The 17912-nt window shown below is 40.5% G+C and overlaps 1 protein-coding gene across 6 annotated transcripts in view, besides 5 other annotated features; it reads right to left on the bottom strand.

Moving 5' to 3' along the window:
* DECR1 (2,4-dienoyl-CoA reductase 1) overlaps positions 1 to 6116 on the bottom strand; it is a 52157-nt gene extending 46041 nt beyond the window's left edge. For 3 of the 6 annotated variants that reach the window (XM_011516880.4, NM_001359.2, XM_005250808.6), the window contains exon 1: positions 6032 to 6116. Coding sequence is in view for 3 of the 6 variants with exons in the window: in NM_001359.2 (NP_001350.1) it covers positions 6032 to 6100 (69 nt within the window). In the remaining 3 variants the exon portion in view is untranslated. Of the gene's footprint in view, positions 1 to 1315; positions 2146 to 2223 lie in introns of those variants that run through there. The other 3 variants (NM_001330575.2, XM_047421410.1, XM_047421409.1) reach the window with 3 other exon arrangements.
* Positions 1448 to 1507: an enhancer, noted in NCBI's record as "active region_27611". NCBI's record gives its function as "activates an Ori minimal core promoter by ATAC-STARR-seq in GM12878 lymphoblastoid cells {active_cell/tissue: GM12878}" and the evidence as "EXISTENCE:reporter gene assay evidence [ECO:0000049][PMID:35858748]".
* Positions 1668 to 1977: an enhancer, noted in NCBI's record as "active region_27610". NCBI's record gives its function as "activates an Ori minimal core promoter by ATAC-STARR-seq in GM12878 lymphoblastoid cells {active_cell/tissue: GM12878}" and the evidence as "EXISTENCE:reporter gene assay evidence [ECO:0000049][PMID:35858748]".
* Positions 5490 to 5629: an enhancer, noted in NCBI's record as "active region_27609". NCBI's record gives its function as "activates an Ori minimal core promoter by ATAC-STARR-seq in GM12878 lymphoblastoid cells {active_cell/tissue: GM12878}" and the evidence as "EXISTENCE:reporter gene assay evidence [ECO:0000049][PMID:35858748]".
* Positions 6100 to 6199: a silencer, noted in NCBI's record as "silent region_19350". NCBI's record gives its function as "represses an Ori minimal core promoter by ATAC-STARR-seq in GM12878 lymphoblastoid cells {active_cell/tissue: GM12878}" and the evidence as "EXISTENCE:reporter gene assay evidence [ECO:0000049][PMID:35858748]".
* Positions 6478 to 6772: an enhancer, noted in NCBI's record as "tiled region #13813; HepG2 Activating DNase unmatched - State 1:Tss, and K562 Activating DNase unmatched - State 1:Tss". NCBI's record gives its function as "activates a minimal TATA promoter and a strong SV40 promoter by Sharpr-MPRA in HepG2 and K562 cells {active_cell/tissue: HepG2 | K562}" and the evidence as "EXISTENCE:reporter gene assay evidence [ECO:0000049][PMID:27701403]".

The raw sequence follows: 17912 nt of genomic DNA, 5'->3' as shown, positions 1-17912 counted from the left end.
GCTACAAGGCCAAGATTCATCCATTAACCCCACCCCCACCACCTGCCCTGCCCTGCCCCACCTTGGTGACTCCCTCTCCTCTTCACCTGATACATCCCATCCGTCTATAAGCCCCATGCCTTTTACCTCCCCAGTGTCCCTCTATATCCACCACCTGATTTCAAACCCCTATCTCACAACATTCACAAACATTGGGGGCCTATTCTGTGTCATCTTTTAACTGATCTTCCGAGGACTGCTAATGGGATCATGTTACTTCTCTTCTTAAGATCTTCTAAGGGCTCCTGGTAGCTGCAGAATATCCAGATTCCTTCGCTCCCCATAGCATATGTCTTCACGACCTAGCTCCTGTCCCTCTCTTCTGCCTCATCTCCCCTGAAATTTACACTCAGGAAAACAAAGTACTCAGGATTCCCCAAACATGAACTCTTTCCTACTTTCCTGTCTTTACACAAATTGCTCCCTATCATCACCCAACATTCATCATTGAAACCCAGCTGTGAGAGCTCTGGTGCTTTCCCTAACACTCCCAGGGAGAATTAACATTCTCTCCTCTACTTCTGTAGCTTATTTATCTATATACCACTTGAGGAGTCCCAGACCCTACTGACATTTCAGGACTGATGTCACTTACTCCTCTTCTCCCTCCAGCCCCCACTTAATGTCCTCACTCAAGAGAGTGGCACTGTCCTTAGCTCAGGGGCCAAAGACAGAAATCTGGGCTTCATCTTACCCCATACATTCAAACCAAGCCCAGTTCGTTTTAGTCCCCAGTAGCTCTAATGCTATCCTCAGTTCAGACCCTCATCACTGGTGTTTGGATGTTTGGTCTCCCTACTTCCAGTCTTACCTGATGATATCGTATTTCTGCTCACAATTTTGATGGCAACATGTCACCACTGAGCATAGCCCCATCTCTCATCCTCACCACCAACCAATCACCAAGGCCTCTGATTTTACCTCCTAAATATCACTCAACTTTGAGTGTCTCCAAACCCAATGCATGCCCTCGTTGAGGCCACCATCACCTCTCAACAGATGAGAGGATTACTCAGGGTTTAGCCATTTGTCTCCACTCCCACCCTGCAGGACAAAGTTCTAACTCTTTAACGCAGCCAACAGGCTGCTCACTAAGCTGTCTCTCACCTCCTGCCTCCCCACTCTCTGTTGATAACCTTTATGCTGGGCCTTCACATAGACTACTCTCCTGTTTAAAACATTCTTACATCTCTCCCTTTGGCTAACTCCTACTCATCTTTCAGGTCTCAGCTTTGATATATACCAAACAACAACACTCTCATAAAACTGGACATACCTCCCCCATGAGCAGGAGATGCTTCTTCCCCAGTCCTGACATCTCCCTACTGTGAGAAGTTCAGGTAGTACAACTCCAGGCTTCTTTCTGTCCCCTTAGTCAACCTGCTAAGGATGTTTGGATGTTTGTCCCTTGAAAACTCATGTTGAAATGTGATCCCCAATGTTGGAGGTGGGGTCTAATGGGAGGTGCCTGGGTTATGGTGGCAGATCCATCATGAATGTCGTAGTACCATCTTCATCCTGGCAGTGGCAAGTGAGTTTGCACTCTATTAGTTCCCACTAAAGCAGGTTGTGAAAGAACCTGGCACCTCCCAACACCCTCTCACTTCCTCTCTTGCCGGCACCTCCCAACACCCTCTCACTTCCTCTCTTGCCGGCACCTCCCAACACCCCCTCACTTCCATCTCTGCAAACTCCAGCTCCCCTTCACCTTCTGCCACAAGTGCAAGCAGCCTTAGGCCGTCACCAGATGCAGATGCCCAGTCTTGAACTTGTCCAGGCATCAGAATCATGAGTCAAACAAACCCTTTTCTTTATAAATTACCCAGCCTCAGGTATTCCTTTATAGCAACACAGACTGAGGTACAATCTGTCTGTGCAGAGACAGTTGATATGACTGGTAAATTTTGACAGGATCGTTGGGTATGAACAGTTCTCCTTGGTCTTCTTCCTTTTGGGAGCCAGCTGCCTTCAGAGGACAATGTTCTGCCCTCCTCCAGAGTTATGTAAGTCCGCCTACTTCGGGAGATCCAGCTGATAGGCCCAGCTTCCTCTCACAAACCACAATAAAAGTGATACTTTGGCTTCCATCTTTACTCATTTTTCAGACTGGAAAAAACGGATGCTATTTATTTGGGATCCCATCCAAAAGCAAGAACACCCAACCTAACATGCGGCACATCATACCATAATGCCATTGGACTCTATGCTTCTTGACAGCAGGAATCAGCTCTTCTTCTCACCTTCATATCCCTAGTAAGGTGCCTAGCAAATAGTAAATGCTCAATTTTCTACATAAATAAGAAAAGCCCACCATACCCTGTCCCCCAGCAACCTGACTGATCTCGTCTCCACACGCTTCTCTCTGTTCCCATACTTCACCAACTCCACAATACCAAACAAACCACTTGAATTTTTATAAATAAGCCACTCTTTCACTTCTTGATACATGCTATTCCTTAGGTCTATATTGCCATTGGGACCACACAAATTCCAACTCCTGATTTAACAGCAGGCTCCTGGGGCCACCTCCTCCATGAAGCTTTCCTTGCCTCCTCTAGGTATGTACAGTTTGGGTCATATATGCATTATAATACACATCTGCATCTTCACAGTCTATTGATGTCTGCTGGTGACTCACTAGACTATCATTTTTCAGATTTTTCTGACTGTGAACCATAGCAAGAAATGTGATTTATATAGCAACATACACATGTTCATAGCAACACAGTACACACGTTCATTCATGTAACAGATATTTGTTACATGTTTACTCTATGCTAAGCACTGTTCTAGGTATAAACAGTGGACAAAACAGTTGAAAATCTTTGCCTGCATAGAGCTTATATTCCAGAATTTTACACTGAATAAAGAAATACTTAGGCTTCCAGATTTAAAAAAAATAAAGAAAACACATCTAGTTGGTTTTATACTGCTCCAAGACAATATTCATCGTGAGAAAACAATGAAACAATGTTGACTAAGGGAAAATGTGACATCCAAGTAAAATTATGCCTATCCATCCTTTTACCAGAACAGATGCCTGGAATGATATACACCAAATGCTAACCCAAGTTAATTCTAGGTGGCCAGTTTGAGGTCATATCTTACTTTGTTAACTGTATTGCTGAATATTGGCCAGGAATCATTTTTCTAAAAATAGTGATTTTACTCTTGATAGTTACTATTCTTTTTTTTTTTTTTCTTTTTGAGATAGAATCTCACTTTGTTGCCCAGGCTGGAGTGCAATGGCGTGATCTTGGCTCACTGCAACCTCTGCCTCCTAGGTTCAAGTGATTCTCCTGCCTCAGCCTCCTGAGTAGCTCCTGCCTCAGCCTCCTGAGTAGCTGGGATTACAGGCACGCGCCACCACGCCCGGCTAATTTTTATATTTTCAGTAGAGACAGGGTTTCACCATGTTGATCAGGTTGGATAGTTATTACTCTTGATAAAAACAAAAGGAAAAGAAACATGGCAGTGTGCATGATAGTAATCAAAGAATGAATCAAAAAAGGAAGAATGGTAAATTTTTTTTTTAAAGTTTCACAAAATGAACAACCTTACTACATGAGATGAATTTAGATATATCCTATTCTATTCCATTTTTTTGTTTTTGAGATGGAGTCTCACTCACTCTATCGCCAGGTTGGACTACAGTGGCGCGACCTCAGCTCACTGCAACCTCTGCCTCCCAGGTTAAAGCGATTCTCCTGCCTCAGCCTCCCAAGTAGCTGGGACTACAGGCGTGTGAAACCACACCCAGTAATTTTTGTATTTTTACTAGAGACAGGGTTTCACCATGTTGGCCAGGATAGTCTTGATCTCTTGATCTAATGATCCACCCGCCTCAGCCTCCCAAAGTGCTGTTTTGCTCCACTAAATTGATTTCAAGGCCTACTCATTGGTTATTATTTGTGGCTTAAAATACATATATGAGACTATAGTACATTGAAGGCAGGAATGTCTTTCAACCACAAATTGCCAAAGAATGCCCAATACTTAATAGGTACTTAATTAATTAGTGTTTCCTCATAAACAACTGAATGACTGAATGTTTTCCTCAATAGAACTGAGAGCAACTTGAGAACAGTTGAGAGCAGGGCTCGTATTTTTTAAATTTTGAGTCCCAGGGCATAGCACAGGGCCAGACATAAAGCCAGTCCTCAATAAATATTTATTAAATTGAAATGAGGCCTATTAGCCAGCAGCACAATTTAACACAGCACTTCACAAACAGGTTTTATAACAAATTAAACATTTGCCTTGGTTCTTGGTAACAAAAATATTCAAATTAGGGGTTTTAATTATAACAACTTGTATTTGCCCACAAAAACATGATGTTCCCTGGAACAACCTCCCACATCACAGATGTAAAGACTTTTCTTCTCCCAGGAATTCAAACTTGAGGCTACATGTGCTAGGAAGGGGACAAACCACACTAACAGGTACCTCTCTTGCCTCCCAACCCTGAACCTCAAAACTTCCATATTTTTCTTCAGCAAAGGAATTTCAAAATTGTCAGATTACAATTAATTTTTAAATGAGTTCATTTTCTCCTTCTCAAACTGTATTGTCTAATGGTGTCAGAAGAGCTTGGATAAGGTCTGTATGACCTTATTGCTACAATCCTAATGATGTGTGTTAAAAAATGAAATCTCTGAAGACATCACAGAGCTGTTGTAGATTTCAAATGAGAAATGTCTCTGAAAAGTATCAGAAAATATGGGCTTCCTTTATAATGATCTATAACCCAGTTTTCACAGGGAGAGAAAAAAAATCAGCAAAACCCTAACCCTGAACAAATCTCACTTTTTAAAAGAAAGATACCTTACTTGAGGGAACCACCATACTAATTCTTTGTATTCCTATTTGGAACTACTGCTGCCCATATTTTTTGAAAAACAACACCATGGCTGTCTATTCTATCAAATCAAAAGAAGTTTTTTCACAGTTGACATATTAATTTTTCTACCTGGCTAAAGAAAATGTGCTTTTTAGTTTACTTATAACAATTTTGTAATTTAGATGTGGGGAGGGCTTGTCTTGGATATTATTGCTTCTTTTTGTTTTTGTTTCTCTTTCTTCTTCCTAGCTGTTTTCACTTCCTAGCTATTTCCACTATGGGTGCAATGGAGATGGTGACAGGAGTGTGGGCCAGAGAGAGGGGGAAGCCAGTGTGAGACGGACCTCTCCCAGCTATACATCTGGGAAGGGGAGTCTATAAACAGCTGGGGTTTTGTTTTTGTTTCATTTTTATGATAATTTGTTTGTATTAGTGTTTAATTCCATAACTAACACATAGATGGACTTTCCTCACAACAAAGGACGTCAAAGGTCAGTGCTCGCTCGGCCTGATCCCCTCTCACTCCTTAAGGGGTGGACGGGCGCCGTATCCTTCCCTACCTCTTTCTACCTATTTACACACAAGTTGGAAACTTGCAGAACTGTGAAAACTTCGAAAATCACGTCTCTTCCCTATTCCCCTACACACATCAGGGCTTCATCTGACAGTGGAATACGACCCGGGCCCCGGTGCTCACTCCCGGCGTTGCCCTTCGCTCCGGGACCTGGTGGTCCTCTCTCTCTGCGCCCCAAAACGCCCTGTCCTAGCTCCCTGAGCCCCAGGGACGCCGGGTCCTCTCTTTGTGCCCCAAGACTTCCTGCCCTTTCTCTTGCGCCCCGAGACGTCCTGTCCTCTCTCTCGCTCCCCGGGTTGCTCTGTGCTCTCTTAGCGCTCCAGAACGCCCTGTCCTCTCTCTTTGAGCCCCGGGACACCCTGTCCTCGCTCCCCGAGGCCCCGGGACGCCCTGTCCTCTCTCTCTCTGCGCCTCGGGATGCCCTGTCCTCGCTCCCCGAACCCCCGGGACGCCCTGTCCTCTCTCTTTGCGCCCCAGGATGCCTTGTCCTCGCTCCCCGAGCCCCCGTGACGCCCTGTCCTCTCTCTTTGCGCGTCGAGACGCCCTGTCCTCGCTCCCCGCGCCCCCGGCCGCCTTACCCTCCGAGGAGCGAGGCCACAGGGCAGCCGGGACCCCAGAGTAAAGAAAACCCTGGCCGGTAGCTTCATGTTGAGTCTCCAGAACTCGGGCCGGAAGGCGGCGCAGGCGGTTGGGCGCAGGGGGCGGGACAAAAAGAACAAAGTTCTCGGGGCTGGAAACGCTGCCTAGGCCGCCGGGGGATGGGACGGGGACTGGGACCCAGGCGGCGTGGACGCCCAGCGGCCCTGACCTTCAGAGTCCGGCCGAGGGCGCCGCCTAGCTGGGCCTAGCTGATGCTCTTTCCTGCTCTCTGGGCCAGGAGTGCTTTGTATGGCAGAGAATGGAGGTTCTTTGCGTCCTTGAGCGGGTGTACGAAACCCCGCGCCCTGCAAGGGTTTGCAGATTGCAGCTGCGCACCCCATACACTGCCTATCAAGGGCGAAACTCTTTTTCAGTCGTATGTGTTTATCCCTTAAGTGCGTGTTTAAGTGCAGAGTGCGCGTGGCGCCAAGTCACATATTATCAGAATAATAATATGTTGGATGTAAAACACGGCCTCACTTTCCCTAAGACCAAGAGGCTGAAAAACACTAAGGGCAGCTTCCGGCGTTTTGACTTTTCGCAGGACACACCGCCCCCTGTCGCCGGATGCAGCGTGACTGCGACCGCCCAGCCTTGGCTTTTTTCTCGAAGTTAAACACACGTTAAAGGCAAACACAGATTCAGTATATCATTCTCCATCTTAGTGTAATATACCTGTTGACACAAGGCATTAGCTCAGATCACATTTCTTTCCTCATTCGTAAAATGAGAATATTCATAGCTAATTCAGAATTTTAGATAAAAGAAGATGGGTGTGAGGCCCCAGGCTGAGGCTGATGGTAGATGATATTGAGTGTTTACTATTTGCCTGGCATGTTCCAAATGCTGATAAAGAAACATTTATATCTTCAGAGGAATGTACACTTACATGTAGACATATAGCTTATAAGGTATATAAACTCTGAAAAACTTTGTAATTTTGAGTTGGTCTGGTGATAATTTCCAGGCCTTCTGCCTGTAACTGGTTACAGAAATAAAAACTTTCTTCATCCCCAGTTCATCGACATCTCATTATTGGCAGCAAGAAATAGCAGCCTGACCCTCAGTTTGGTCCAGGAACAAAACTACCACAGATTGGGTGGCTTAAATGGAAATTTGTTTTCTCACAATTCTGGAGGCCACAAGTCAGCAGAGTTGGTTTCTTGTGGAGCCACTGTGGGACCATCTTCTCCCTGTGTCTTTACATGATCCTCCTGTGTACCTTTCCATATCTAAATTGCCTCTTCTTATGAGGACACCAGTCGTGTTGGATTAAGGCCCACCCTCAATGACCTAATTTAACTGGAATTACCTCCCTAAAGACTCTATCTCCAAATATAGCCACATTCTGACATACTGGGGGTTAAGAGTTCAATGTATATATTTGGCTGGGAGAAGAGGGAAGTACACAATTCAGCCCAGAACACTTGCCCTCTTAAATAACTTTTAGACCAGCTTAGGAGGCATTTTCTGTCCTCCCAAAAAAACCTTGAGAATATATCAATAATAAAACTTTTCCTAAGCTCTTGATATATGTATGGCACTGTTATTCTTGACTTCCAAACCAAATTGTAAGTGGGATTCATCTTGTTTCTAAAAAGAAGTTGCAACATTAGTGATACGGTTTGGATTTGTGTCCCTACCCAAATCTCATGTTGAATTGTAATCTCCAGTGTTGGAATTGGGGCCTGGTAGGAGGTGATTGGATCACGGGGACAGATTTCTTCCTTTGGTGCTATTCTCCTGATAGAGTTCTCAGGAGATCTGGTTGTTTAAAAGTGTGTGGCACCTCCCACCCTCTCTCTTCCTCCTGCTCCAGCTGTGTAAGACAGCCTGCTTCCCCTTCATCTTCCACCATGATTGTAAGTTTCCTGAGGCCTCTCAAGTCATGCTTCCTATATAGCCTGCAGAACTGTGAGTCAATTAAACTTCGTTTCTTTATAAATTACTCAGTATGAGGTATTTCTTTATAGCATTGTGAGAATGGAGTAACACAATAAGTAACTTAAAACAATTAATCATTTATTATCTCACAGTTCCCAGGAGTTAGGAGTCTAGGCACAGCTTAGCTGGATCCTTGGCTCTGGGTCTCAGAAGACTGCAATCAAGGTGTCAACTAGGCTGTTTTTATCTGGAGGCTCAGCTGGAGAAGATCTGATCCCAAGCTCATCCAGATTGTTTGCAGAATTATTTTCCTCATAACCATATAACTGACAGCCCCACATTTTTGCTGGATGTTGGCTGGAGTTGCCTTCAGCTTCTAGAAGTCACCTCCATCCCTTCCCATGTGGGCTTCCTCAGCAGACTGCTTACTACATCAAGCCAGCAAGGACAATTCTGTACCTCAGGGAGGCCCCAGCCCATCTTTTAAGGACAATCACCAGATTAAGTGAGGCCCACTGAAAATAGTCTTAACCCCTTTTTGATTAACTAAAATCAACTGACTTGGGACTGCAAACCAAAAAGTGACTGAGGCAGATCTCTGTGGGTTAGCGATCATTTAGCCAAGGTTGAGAACATGTCTGGGAAAAAAATGCAACTCACAAGAGCATCTGTAACCTATGCTTTTTCCAAAGGGGGTTTTGGGAAATTCTTTATTTAAAAAAGAAAGAGCAAGCAGGAGAGAAAAAAAAAAAAAGGAAGAGAGGGTAGACAGTGAGGCAGATGGTTCCATTCTTTTGAGGCTCTGATTAGCCTCAGTAAATCTACATTTTACATAAGATAAAGTAAACATGTGAAAAGAGGGAGTAGAGGAAATGATGCTATGTCTTGGGATTATGAAATTACAGCTATCAGTTTGGGAACAACGACAACAAAAAAGACAGTATTGGTGACTGAGTTTCCAAGCTTAACTTTCCTTATGGCATAGTGAGTTCACAGTCCCTATATTCTGTTTTTCTTTCACAGGATCTTAGTTGCATCTGCACAATTCTTTCACCTTTGCCATATACTGTTAACTAGAAGTGAGTCACAGTTCCTGTCCATACTTAAGGGAAGGGAATTATACAGAGCATGAATTCCAGGGACTGGGACTCATGGGACCATCTTAGAATTCTGTCTACCACAACCATACATTAGACATGAAAAAGAAGTTTGCAAAAGTTTTAGGTAGACCCCCTGTATTAGTCCATTCTTGCATTCCTATAAAGAAATATCTAAGACTGAGTAATTTATAAGAAAAGAGGTTTAATTTGCTCATGGTTCTGCAGGCGGTACAGGAAGCATGGTGGCATCTGCTTCTGGGGAGGCCTCAGGAAGCTTCCACTCATGGAAGGCAAAGGGGCACACTTTTAAATGACTAGATCTCAGGAGAATTCCCTCACTATGGTGAAGATAGTACCAAGTGGAATAGTGCTAAACCATTCATGAGAAACCTGCCCCCATGATCTAATCACATTCTACCAGGCTCCACCTCCAACACCAGGCATTACATTTCAATATATGAGATTTGGGTGGGGACACACATCCAAACTACGTTACCCACACTCTACAATCTAGTCAGAGGGAAATAGCTACATAAAACACTTAGGCAGCCTGGACTCTGGGTTCTGTTTTACTGTCGTTCTCCAAGCTTGGTACAGAAGCAGAGGGTTGGAACCTCAAAGGAATAAACCAGTTAGGAAAAATATAACCACTAGGAACTGAAAATCAGAGAGGCCTCCCCTAAAGGCCTGTATAGGACTTGGTGTCCTTCTTATGATACCGAGAGGGAAGAAAGGAGACAGGGCACTAAAGATGACTAAGGTTGAATTTCCCACAATTCCCACAATCATGGAGGAATGGATAGGGCTAGGAATGGAATTTAAATAAAATAAAATAAAATGATATTACCTTCATCCTTGAATATATGGTTGAATATTTATACCACTAGCTTGTCTTGAATATGAACAGAAAAAATGGTTATATTATTTTTAATTTTTAATATTTCCTGAAATCAAAAGGCCTAAAAGTGGGGTTCATCTTGTTTCTAAGAAGAAGTTGCAACATTGGTGATATGATTTGGATTTGTGTCCCTACCCAAATCTCATGTCGAATTGTAATCCCCAATGTTGGAATTGGGGCCTGGTGGGAGGTGATTGGATCATGAGGACAGATTTTTCCCTTTGGTGCTATTTCTTCTGATTTCTTATCTGATGGTTCAGCCTTAGTGACTGGCAGACTCCTACACTCCAGCAATGGCTGCTCCCCTCACACACATGCCTCCTCTCCCCACTTTCACATCATCACCCTAGTATGGCTGCCTCTGACCCCATAATCAGGGGTCAGCTTTGATTTTGTTTTCTCAGGAAAAGTTACCTTGACTTCTACACTAATTCAGGTCTTCCTACTAGGGAAGCATCCAAGTTTGGTGGTACCTGAAGCTTATAAACTTTGGGAAGCCATTTAAGAAAAAGATTACAAAATTAGATGCAAAAATGAATATTAACTTACAATATAAGAAGAAATTAGAACAAATTACAAATTCCAAAAAATTTACAGTATCCTAAATTTCACACAAATATAAAGTAATGTTTCAAACTACTTAAATGTCTAACACATCTCTAATTGCAATTTCCGTCTACATTTCGGAGCTGCATTCTCTTTGATCACCTCTTCCTTTATTGAAGATTTTATAAGCATATTTTTAATAGAGAGAATAAGGAGTTCAAGTGCTAAATCATACCTCACACACACTTAGATTTGCCACTCATAGGACCACCACAGATTTGTATCTGGCCAAGACAGAATTTCTAAAAATTTCTATTGTATGCAATTATTATCATATTTTTAAAAAGCATGGTGCATTCATAATAGTAAACACTAAATTGTGAATATTCATGATGGGGACAAACTTCTGTTTTGACTATGCATCCATGAAACCATATCCTCTGCTAACACTTTTACATAATTTGATACTAGCTTATGGCTTCATACACTTTAAACAATTCAAACTTTGCTTCTCCTCCAATTCCCATTTACTTCCAGAGCTGAGTACCACTGGACACTTCTACATTTCAATACCACCTCTGGCCCTGCACATAAATGTCACAAGGTGGGCAGAAAGTATAGTCCAGTCTGCTGGAAGACAGCCCCACCAAAGGACAGTATAGAGCATTAACTCTATAGTGAAGTGACAACAAACCACACAAGTATTTCTGAACTGATCTAAGAAATAAATTAATTCCCCAATTCAGTTTAGCAGACACCCCAACTGCTGGTGACCACTCCAACATCATCCAACATGAGAGGAATTTTGACAGAAATAGGAATGGAAAGAGAATTATTTTAACTCCTTTTGTTAAAATAACTTACTTTTGTGAATTTTACTGGAAAAAAGAAATGGCCCTGGGGCCTTGGAAGAGCTGTGCAAGCAAGAGGCCCTGAAATTTACTAGCTTCAGGTAAATCAGCCCTTGCCTTAGCTGTATGTTTTCATAGGGCACTGAATTTCCCTTTTGGGGGCTCTTGTTACAATTGCAATTGCGTCTTTCTCTTATATATTAGCAGCTGTGGGGCGGGGTGCCTACCTTTTTAAATTTACCATCCTTCTATCCCTCATATCTAGCACAATGTTTGGTGCATGGTGAGCCATCAAACACTTTGTTGAATGAGGTACTGAGACTGTTACCATTTTCTAATGAGGTTATTACAAAAGTAATTTAGAGGAGAATGTGCAGCAGTCATAGGCACTACTAAGGAACAGATGAGGGGCATAAAACCAAGAGGCCGTTCGAAATGCAGTAAGTTACAGTATTTCCATGAGGGGGAGCCATGGAGCCTGACTTCAGTGTCTGAGGATCTATTTTTCATGAAAGCTAGTGTTTCCCCACTTTTTCTGTATGTCAGATTCTGCACACAGTCTGTGTACACATTTCACTAATCGTCACAAGCACTTATAAGGCTTATATTATCAGCATTTGGGAAACTGAGGCACAACACAGGTAGGCAAACTGTCCAGCTAGTAAACAACGGTGATGGAATCTGAACCCAGCCTTGTCGCGCTATAGGGCCCCTGTTTTCAGCCACTGTATTTTACTCTGTGCTAGTGGGGTAGAACCTCGGGAGTCAGACTGCTGGGGTTTAAGCCAAGCTACATGTCTCACTAGATGTATAATGTTTAGCCAGTTACAAACTTTCTCATTTGATTCCCTTATCTGTGAGATGCAGATACAATAGTAAGGGTGTCAACTTCACAAGCTTCTACTCAGATTTAAATGACATAATATATTTAAAGCACTTAGAACAGAACATGACACATACAAAACAGCCAGCAAACGCTCGCTATCATCATGCACATGGAGAATGGCCAGTAATTAGCCCAGAATTAGCATAGAATCCCTGATACTACTATGTAATGATTTTTCTTTTCTCACAGAATCACAAGCTATAACTACTAAGCAAATTCAACAGGATTATTACCCATGAAATAAACTACCTTAAGGGAGAAAAAGAAAAACCTACAAAAGGCCTTGCCAAAAGCATTGGTGTCTAGAAATTATGCTTAGTGCAATTATATATATAACGTATTATATATTATATAATATATATTACATGTTATATATAATATATATTATTTATATTATATATAACATGTAATATATATTATATTAAATATTATATATAATATATATTATATTAAGTATATTTATATTAAATATAATATATTATATTATATTAAATATAATATATTATATTAAATATAATATAATATATTATAGTAAATATATATTAAATATAATATATTATAATTATAATATAATATATGGTATATAATATATTAATAATACATATTATATATAATATATCATATATAACATATAATGTATCATATATGATATCATATATAATATATGTTATATTATATTAGTGCATATATAATTGCACTAAGCATAATTTCTAGACACCAATGCTTTTGGCAAGGCCTTTTGTAAGTTTTTATTTTTCTTCCTTAAGGTAGTATATTTTATTTTAAGTATAATATATATAATATATTAATATATTATATAATAATATATTATATATTATTATATTTAATATATTATATATTTATATAATATATTATAATTATTATATATAATATATATAATATATTATATATAATTATTATATATAATATATTGTATATTATATGTTATATATATAATATATATTATATATATATTATATATAATATATTATTATAAATTATATATATAATTTATTATATATAAATTATATATATAATTTATTATATATAAATTATATATATATAATTTATATATAATAAATTATTATTAGATATAAATGTTATATATATATATTAGACGGAGTTTTGCTCTTGTTGCCCTGGCTGAAGTGCAGTGGCATGATCTTGGCTCACTGCAAACTGCGCCTCCCGAGTTCAAGCAATTCTCCTGCCTCAGCCTCCCAAGTAGCTGGGCTTACAGGTACCTACCACCAAGCCCAGCTAATTTTTGTATTTTTAGTAGAGACAAGGTTTCACAATGTTGGCCAGGCTAGTCTTGAACTCCTGACCTCAGGTGATCCAGGCAATCCAGGTGATCCACCCGCCTCGGCCTCCCAAAATGCTGGGATTACAGGCATGAGCCACCTTGCCTGGCCAGTGCAGTTTAATATTTTTGTTAGAGTCTAAAAAAAAAAAAAAAAGACACACAGTATCCAAAATACAGAGTTGTGTTTGAATGAAATTAAAGTTCACAGCTTCTGCCCCAGGAAAACAGGTTGAAGAGGGTGATCAGGCTTAGCCAGCTTGGGAATGTAAAGGCAAACACAAATTAAGAATAAGAGGCTTAATTCTTCCTGTTGAAAATAAAGGAAGAGGTTTCCCTTCCTCCCTTTGCTTAAAGCATTTGCCTTATAAATCTTGTCATTGCAAATTCTTTCGTTGTCTCTTTGAAATGTATGCAAATCTTTTTTTTTTTTAAGGCTAAGTAAGCCTCTTGCCAGCCTTACAATGCAGCAGTGTCTAAGGACCCTACAGCCACTCCTTTGCAAAGTAATAATCAAAGAAGATAGTGGCCCTATCCTATCTCCTATTTCTGTGGGAGAGTAGGAGCCTAACTTAAGCTGTTTACCTGGCTTCAAGTTGAAACCTACCCCCAGTCGTAAAGATAAAATAAGTTAATTTTTCCTTTAAATCAACCCAATTAGTTAATAAGGGTGATAACCCTAATTATCAAGTGAATTTGGTATGAACAAGGTGTGACAAAGGGTGCTATCAAGTCCTCTTACTTGAGGACTAATTATTGTTCCTCTTAAGAACACGTATGAAATGGTTGTATCTGCTTGCCTATATAAAGTGTGAGATTTATTTTTGTCTTCACAATCTCTAGTCAATTGCTTGTGGGTCTACTGGGGTGCCAGGAGATTTTGTTTTTAACTGGACATCCCCAACAGCAGTAAGCTGCAAGCAAACCCCTTGGCACCCAGCCCCAAAGCCATGTTGTTACACCAGCCTGTGCTGCTGTGGTGAGGAAGACCCACACCTTTCAGAAATGGACAGAGGGTTGCTCCACATTATTTTGGAAATAGAATAAATAGACTGAGACACTCTTTGACTGATATCTGACTCACTACTGAAGAATATCAGTAAGGCCCACCTGAAAGGGAGAGTCATGCTTACTTCTGGTGGAAGGTGCCAGACATGTGATTGCTGACGTCCTTAAAGGGCAAGTCTGAGTCGGGGAAAAGGGAGCTACAGTTAATAATGTTCCTCCCTCTGGATTTTTGCTTTTTTTTTTTTTTTTTCCTAGAGACCGGCTCTCACTATGATGCTCAGTCTGGCCTTAAACTCCTGGGCTCAAGCAATCCTCCTGCCTCAGCCTCCAGAGTAGCTGGGATTACAAATGTCAGTCACTGTGCTAGGCCTCTCTGGTTTTTTATCCTGCCTTCACTCCCCAGATTGCACATCACAGGAATTGCTCAAGAGTTGTGCTGTGCTCCAGGAACTAAGTCCATTCCATTTGGGAGCTGAAGGGATTGAAAGAGAGCTGCACTGAGAAGCAAAACAGCTGATGATACTGTTCTTGTCACAACTCTGTGACAAATTGGCTTTCTGTTACTGGACAAATTAACTTTTATCAGCTTTATTTTCCTCATCCATAAAACTAGGGTGTTTGCATAAATGAGATCAGTATAGAACTATAATATCGCTTGTAGGTCTAAAAATCTGTGATTTTGCAAATAAACTAGATTTGGCAGAATTGCTATAGGTAACCTGGTGTGGTACTAAGGAGTTCATTGTGAAATGCTGTTAAAATAAAATAGCTTAAATATATATAACATATTATATATAATATTAGCTCTTATGTATCTCTGGTGTTTGAATATTTCATCTAATTTACACATTTTAGGTAAATATTAAGCTTCAGAGTTTCAAAGTGCTTTGTAATTGTTAATTCGCTTCTTGAATGACTTCTGCAAGGGAGGCTTGCCCATGATCCCATTACATAGACTTATTTGTTCTCATTCAGTAAAGCCAAATCTTATACTCTGCAATTTGGAGTCTTATATTCTTTTATCTTTCAATTAAAAAAAAAAACTATGATTAAACAGCCAATACGATTCAAGTAATCCATTGATGTTTCAATTAATTCTACTGCTTATGCACAGATTAATCATACATATATTGTTATATCCCCATATAAAGAAGAAACAAGACACATAGAAGTTAAATTATTTATTCTAGTAAAATATATAATTATTATAGCAAAATCATTATAGTAAAGTAGAATGAGCATTGAGACACAAAAATAGAACTCATTGCTCCTTACTATCAGACATATTCAGAATAATAAAGATACACCTTGAATCAACACTTGATCTCCACATGCTTCTCATTCACCCACACTCCACACCCCACCGACCTTCACAGTTGCAATCTAAGTAAAAGTTGGAAAGAGGTTCAATGAGTAGTTAAGTTTAACAAAGAGTTATGCATCTTCCATGTGTTCATCACTATGGTAAATATGAGAAACAAAAGTGATTTAGACAGTAGGAACACAGACATGTCTTAGACACCAGCCCTTCCCTCATGGAACTATAAAGGAAGAAAAGGAAAGTCACATTTGCTTAACAACTACCATATATAATATAGTGTCTTGTGGAAGGAAAATAAAATCACTATGCCAAAAGGGAAAAGTTAAGCTCAGAAACTGAGTCATGAAAAAATATTTTTAAAAACCAAAACTACCTTTCCTTTTGTCTTAAACTGACAGATGGCCACGTATCTCCAAAGGGGACCTCCCTCATCCGATGATGTAAATTAACACGTTATCTTCACAAGTATGGGACAAGAGGAGACTAGAAATCATCCCGTCCCCCCACCCCACCCACCCCAAGACAAATGCATATTTGCTGCTTCCTCTATGTTTACTTTACCTTATGTAAAGTGCAGATTTATTGAGCACGATATGAATACATCAACTGTTCCCTCTCTCCCCTCCTTTTCTTGTGCAATGTGTGGATTCACAAGAGTGTGACCATACCCTCCCTCTTTTTCCCCCCCTCTTTCCCTTCCTGACCACTTTCCCCTTTAAATATTGAAGCTCTTAAAATCCTTGGAAAAAGTACAGGCCACAGATCCTACTGTGGCTTGTGTCTTTTTACCAAGCCTGTCCTCAACCTTGGCAAAATAAACCTCTAAATTGATTGAGACTTGTCTCAGAGACTTTTTGATTTACAATCTCACTTATTCCTAACAATAACACTTCAAGGTAGTTATTATTTAAGACCACTTATAGATAAGAGGAGACTGAGTTACCTTTGTTAGTTACCCATTGTGTGATCTTGAAACAATTAAGTCTAGCACTATTAAACTTACATGTTAGCTGAACATTCGCTGGAAATTAATGGCAGGGTTAATGGAATTTTGGGGGAGAGGACAAGGTAAATATTTTTAGGGTATGGTAAAGGAACCAAAGGGAGAAACTGAAAACAAGTAGGAGAAAGGGATAACTGATAAAGCAAAACCCTGGGGAAATGAGAGGAGATGGGTGTAAGCACATGGAGAAATTGATCCTGAACTGAATGGTAAAATCATATCATGAAACCAGAGATAAGAAGGCAAGGATAAGGCATGGGTACAGATTTTAAAAGAAAAGAGGTTTGTTTTGTGATAAGAACAGCAGCAGTGTAAGGTCAGAAAGTGTAAGGAAGCTCTTGCCTCAATTTCTAGTAAGATACGAAACCATTTTCTTGGAAGGAAAGCAGGAGATGATCAGATCTGAGGAGTTCAGCAAATGTGTCAAATAGCTCTTCAGAGTTATTGAGAATAGATTTTCTTAAAAGCAGGAAAAGATACTGATCAATTGTATTCTGTAGTTCAACTGATATTAGAGTTTATAGATTGGCATTGGTTCCGTATTTTTGAAGATGGACAGATTTTACCCAGGTGTCTCAGTAGAGAAATTTGCTGTGGGATTGATTGACTCATAGTTCTGAGTTTGTTAGGGCTCTTAGACAAGTGAGCTATGGATCTAAGAGATCTCAGGGTAAAAGTACTTCTGAGAGCTACAGCTCAGTAGTGAGAGCTGACTGACAGCAAAGTTACTGAGCTATCCATCCTGGTGTCCAGCCCGGATATGAAGGAGGATGGAAGGAGACTGACACCTGGGTAAAGTGGAAGGATCATGTGGCTGGAGTCGTGGGTGAGGCTAAAAAGCGAGGCAATGGAAGTGAACATACAAGGAAGTGGGAAGGCCAGGCAGCTCCAGTTATAAAGCAGGAAAATAAGGGTGAAGAAGGTTCTGATGATGTGAAGATCGAAAGTGTGGCCAACTGAGAGGGTGGTATGTGTGGAGTAGAGATGAAAGTCACAGAAGCTGAGACAGTTGAAGAATAG

Source organism: Homo sapiens, chromosome 8, assembly GCF_000001405.40.
Source record: "Homo sapiens chromosome 8, GRCh38.p14 Primary Assembly".
Classification (NCBI taxonomy): Eukaryota; Metazoa; Chordata; class Mammalia; order Primates; family Hominidae; genus Homo; species Homo sapiens.
Note: the sequence above shows the minus strand (reverse complement) of the source record. Positions and strands in the feature narration are given on the sequence as shown.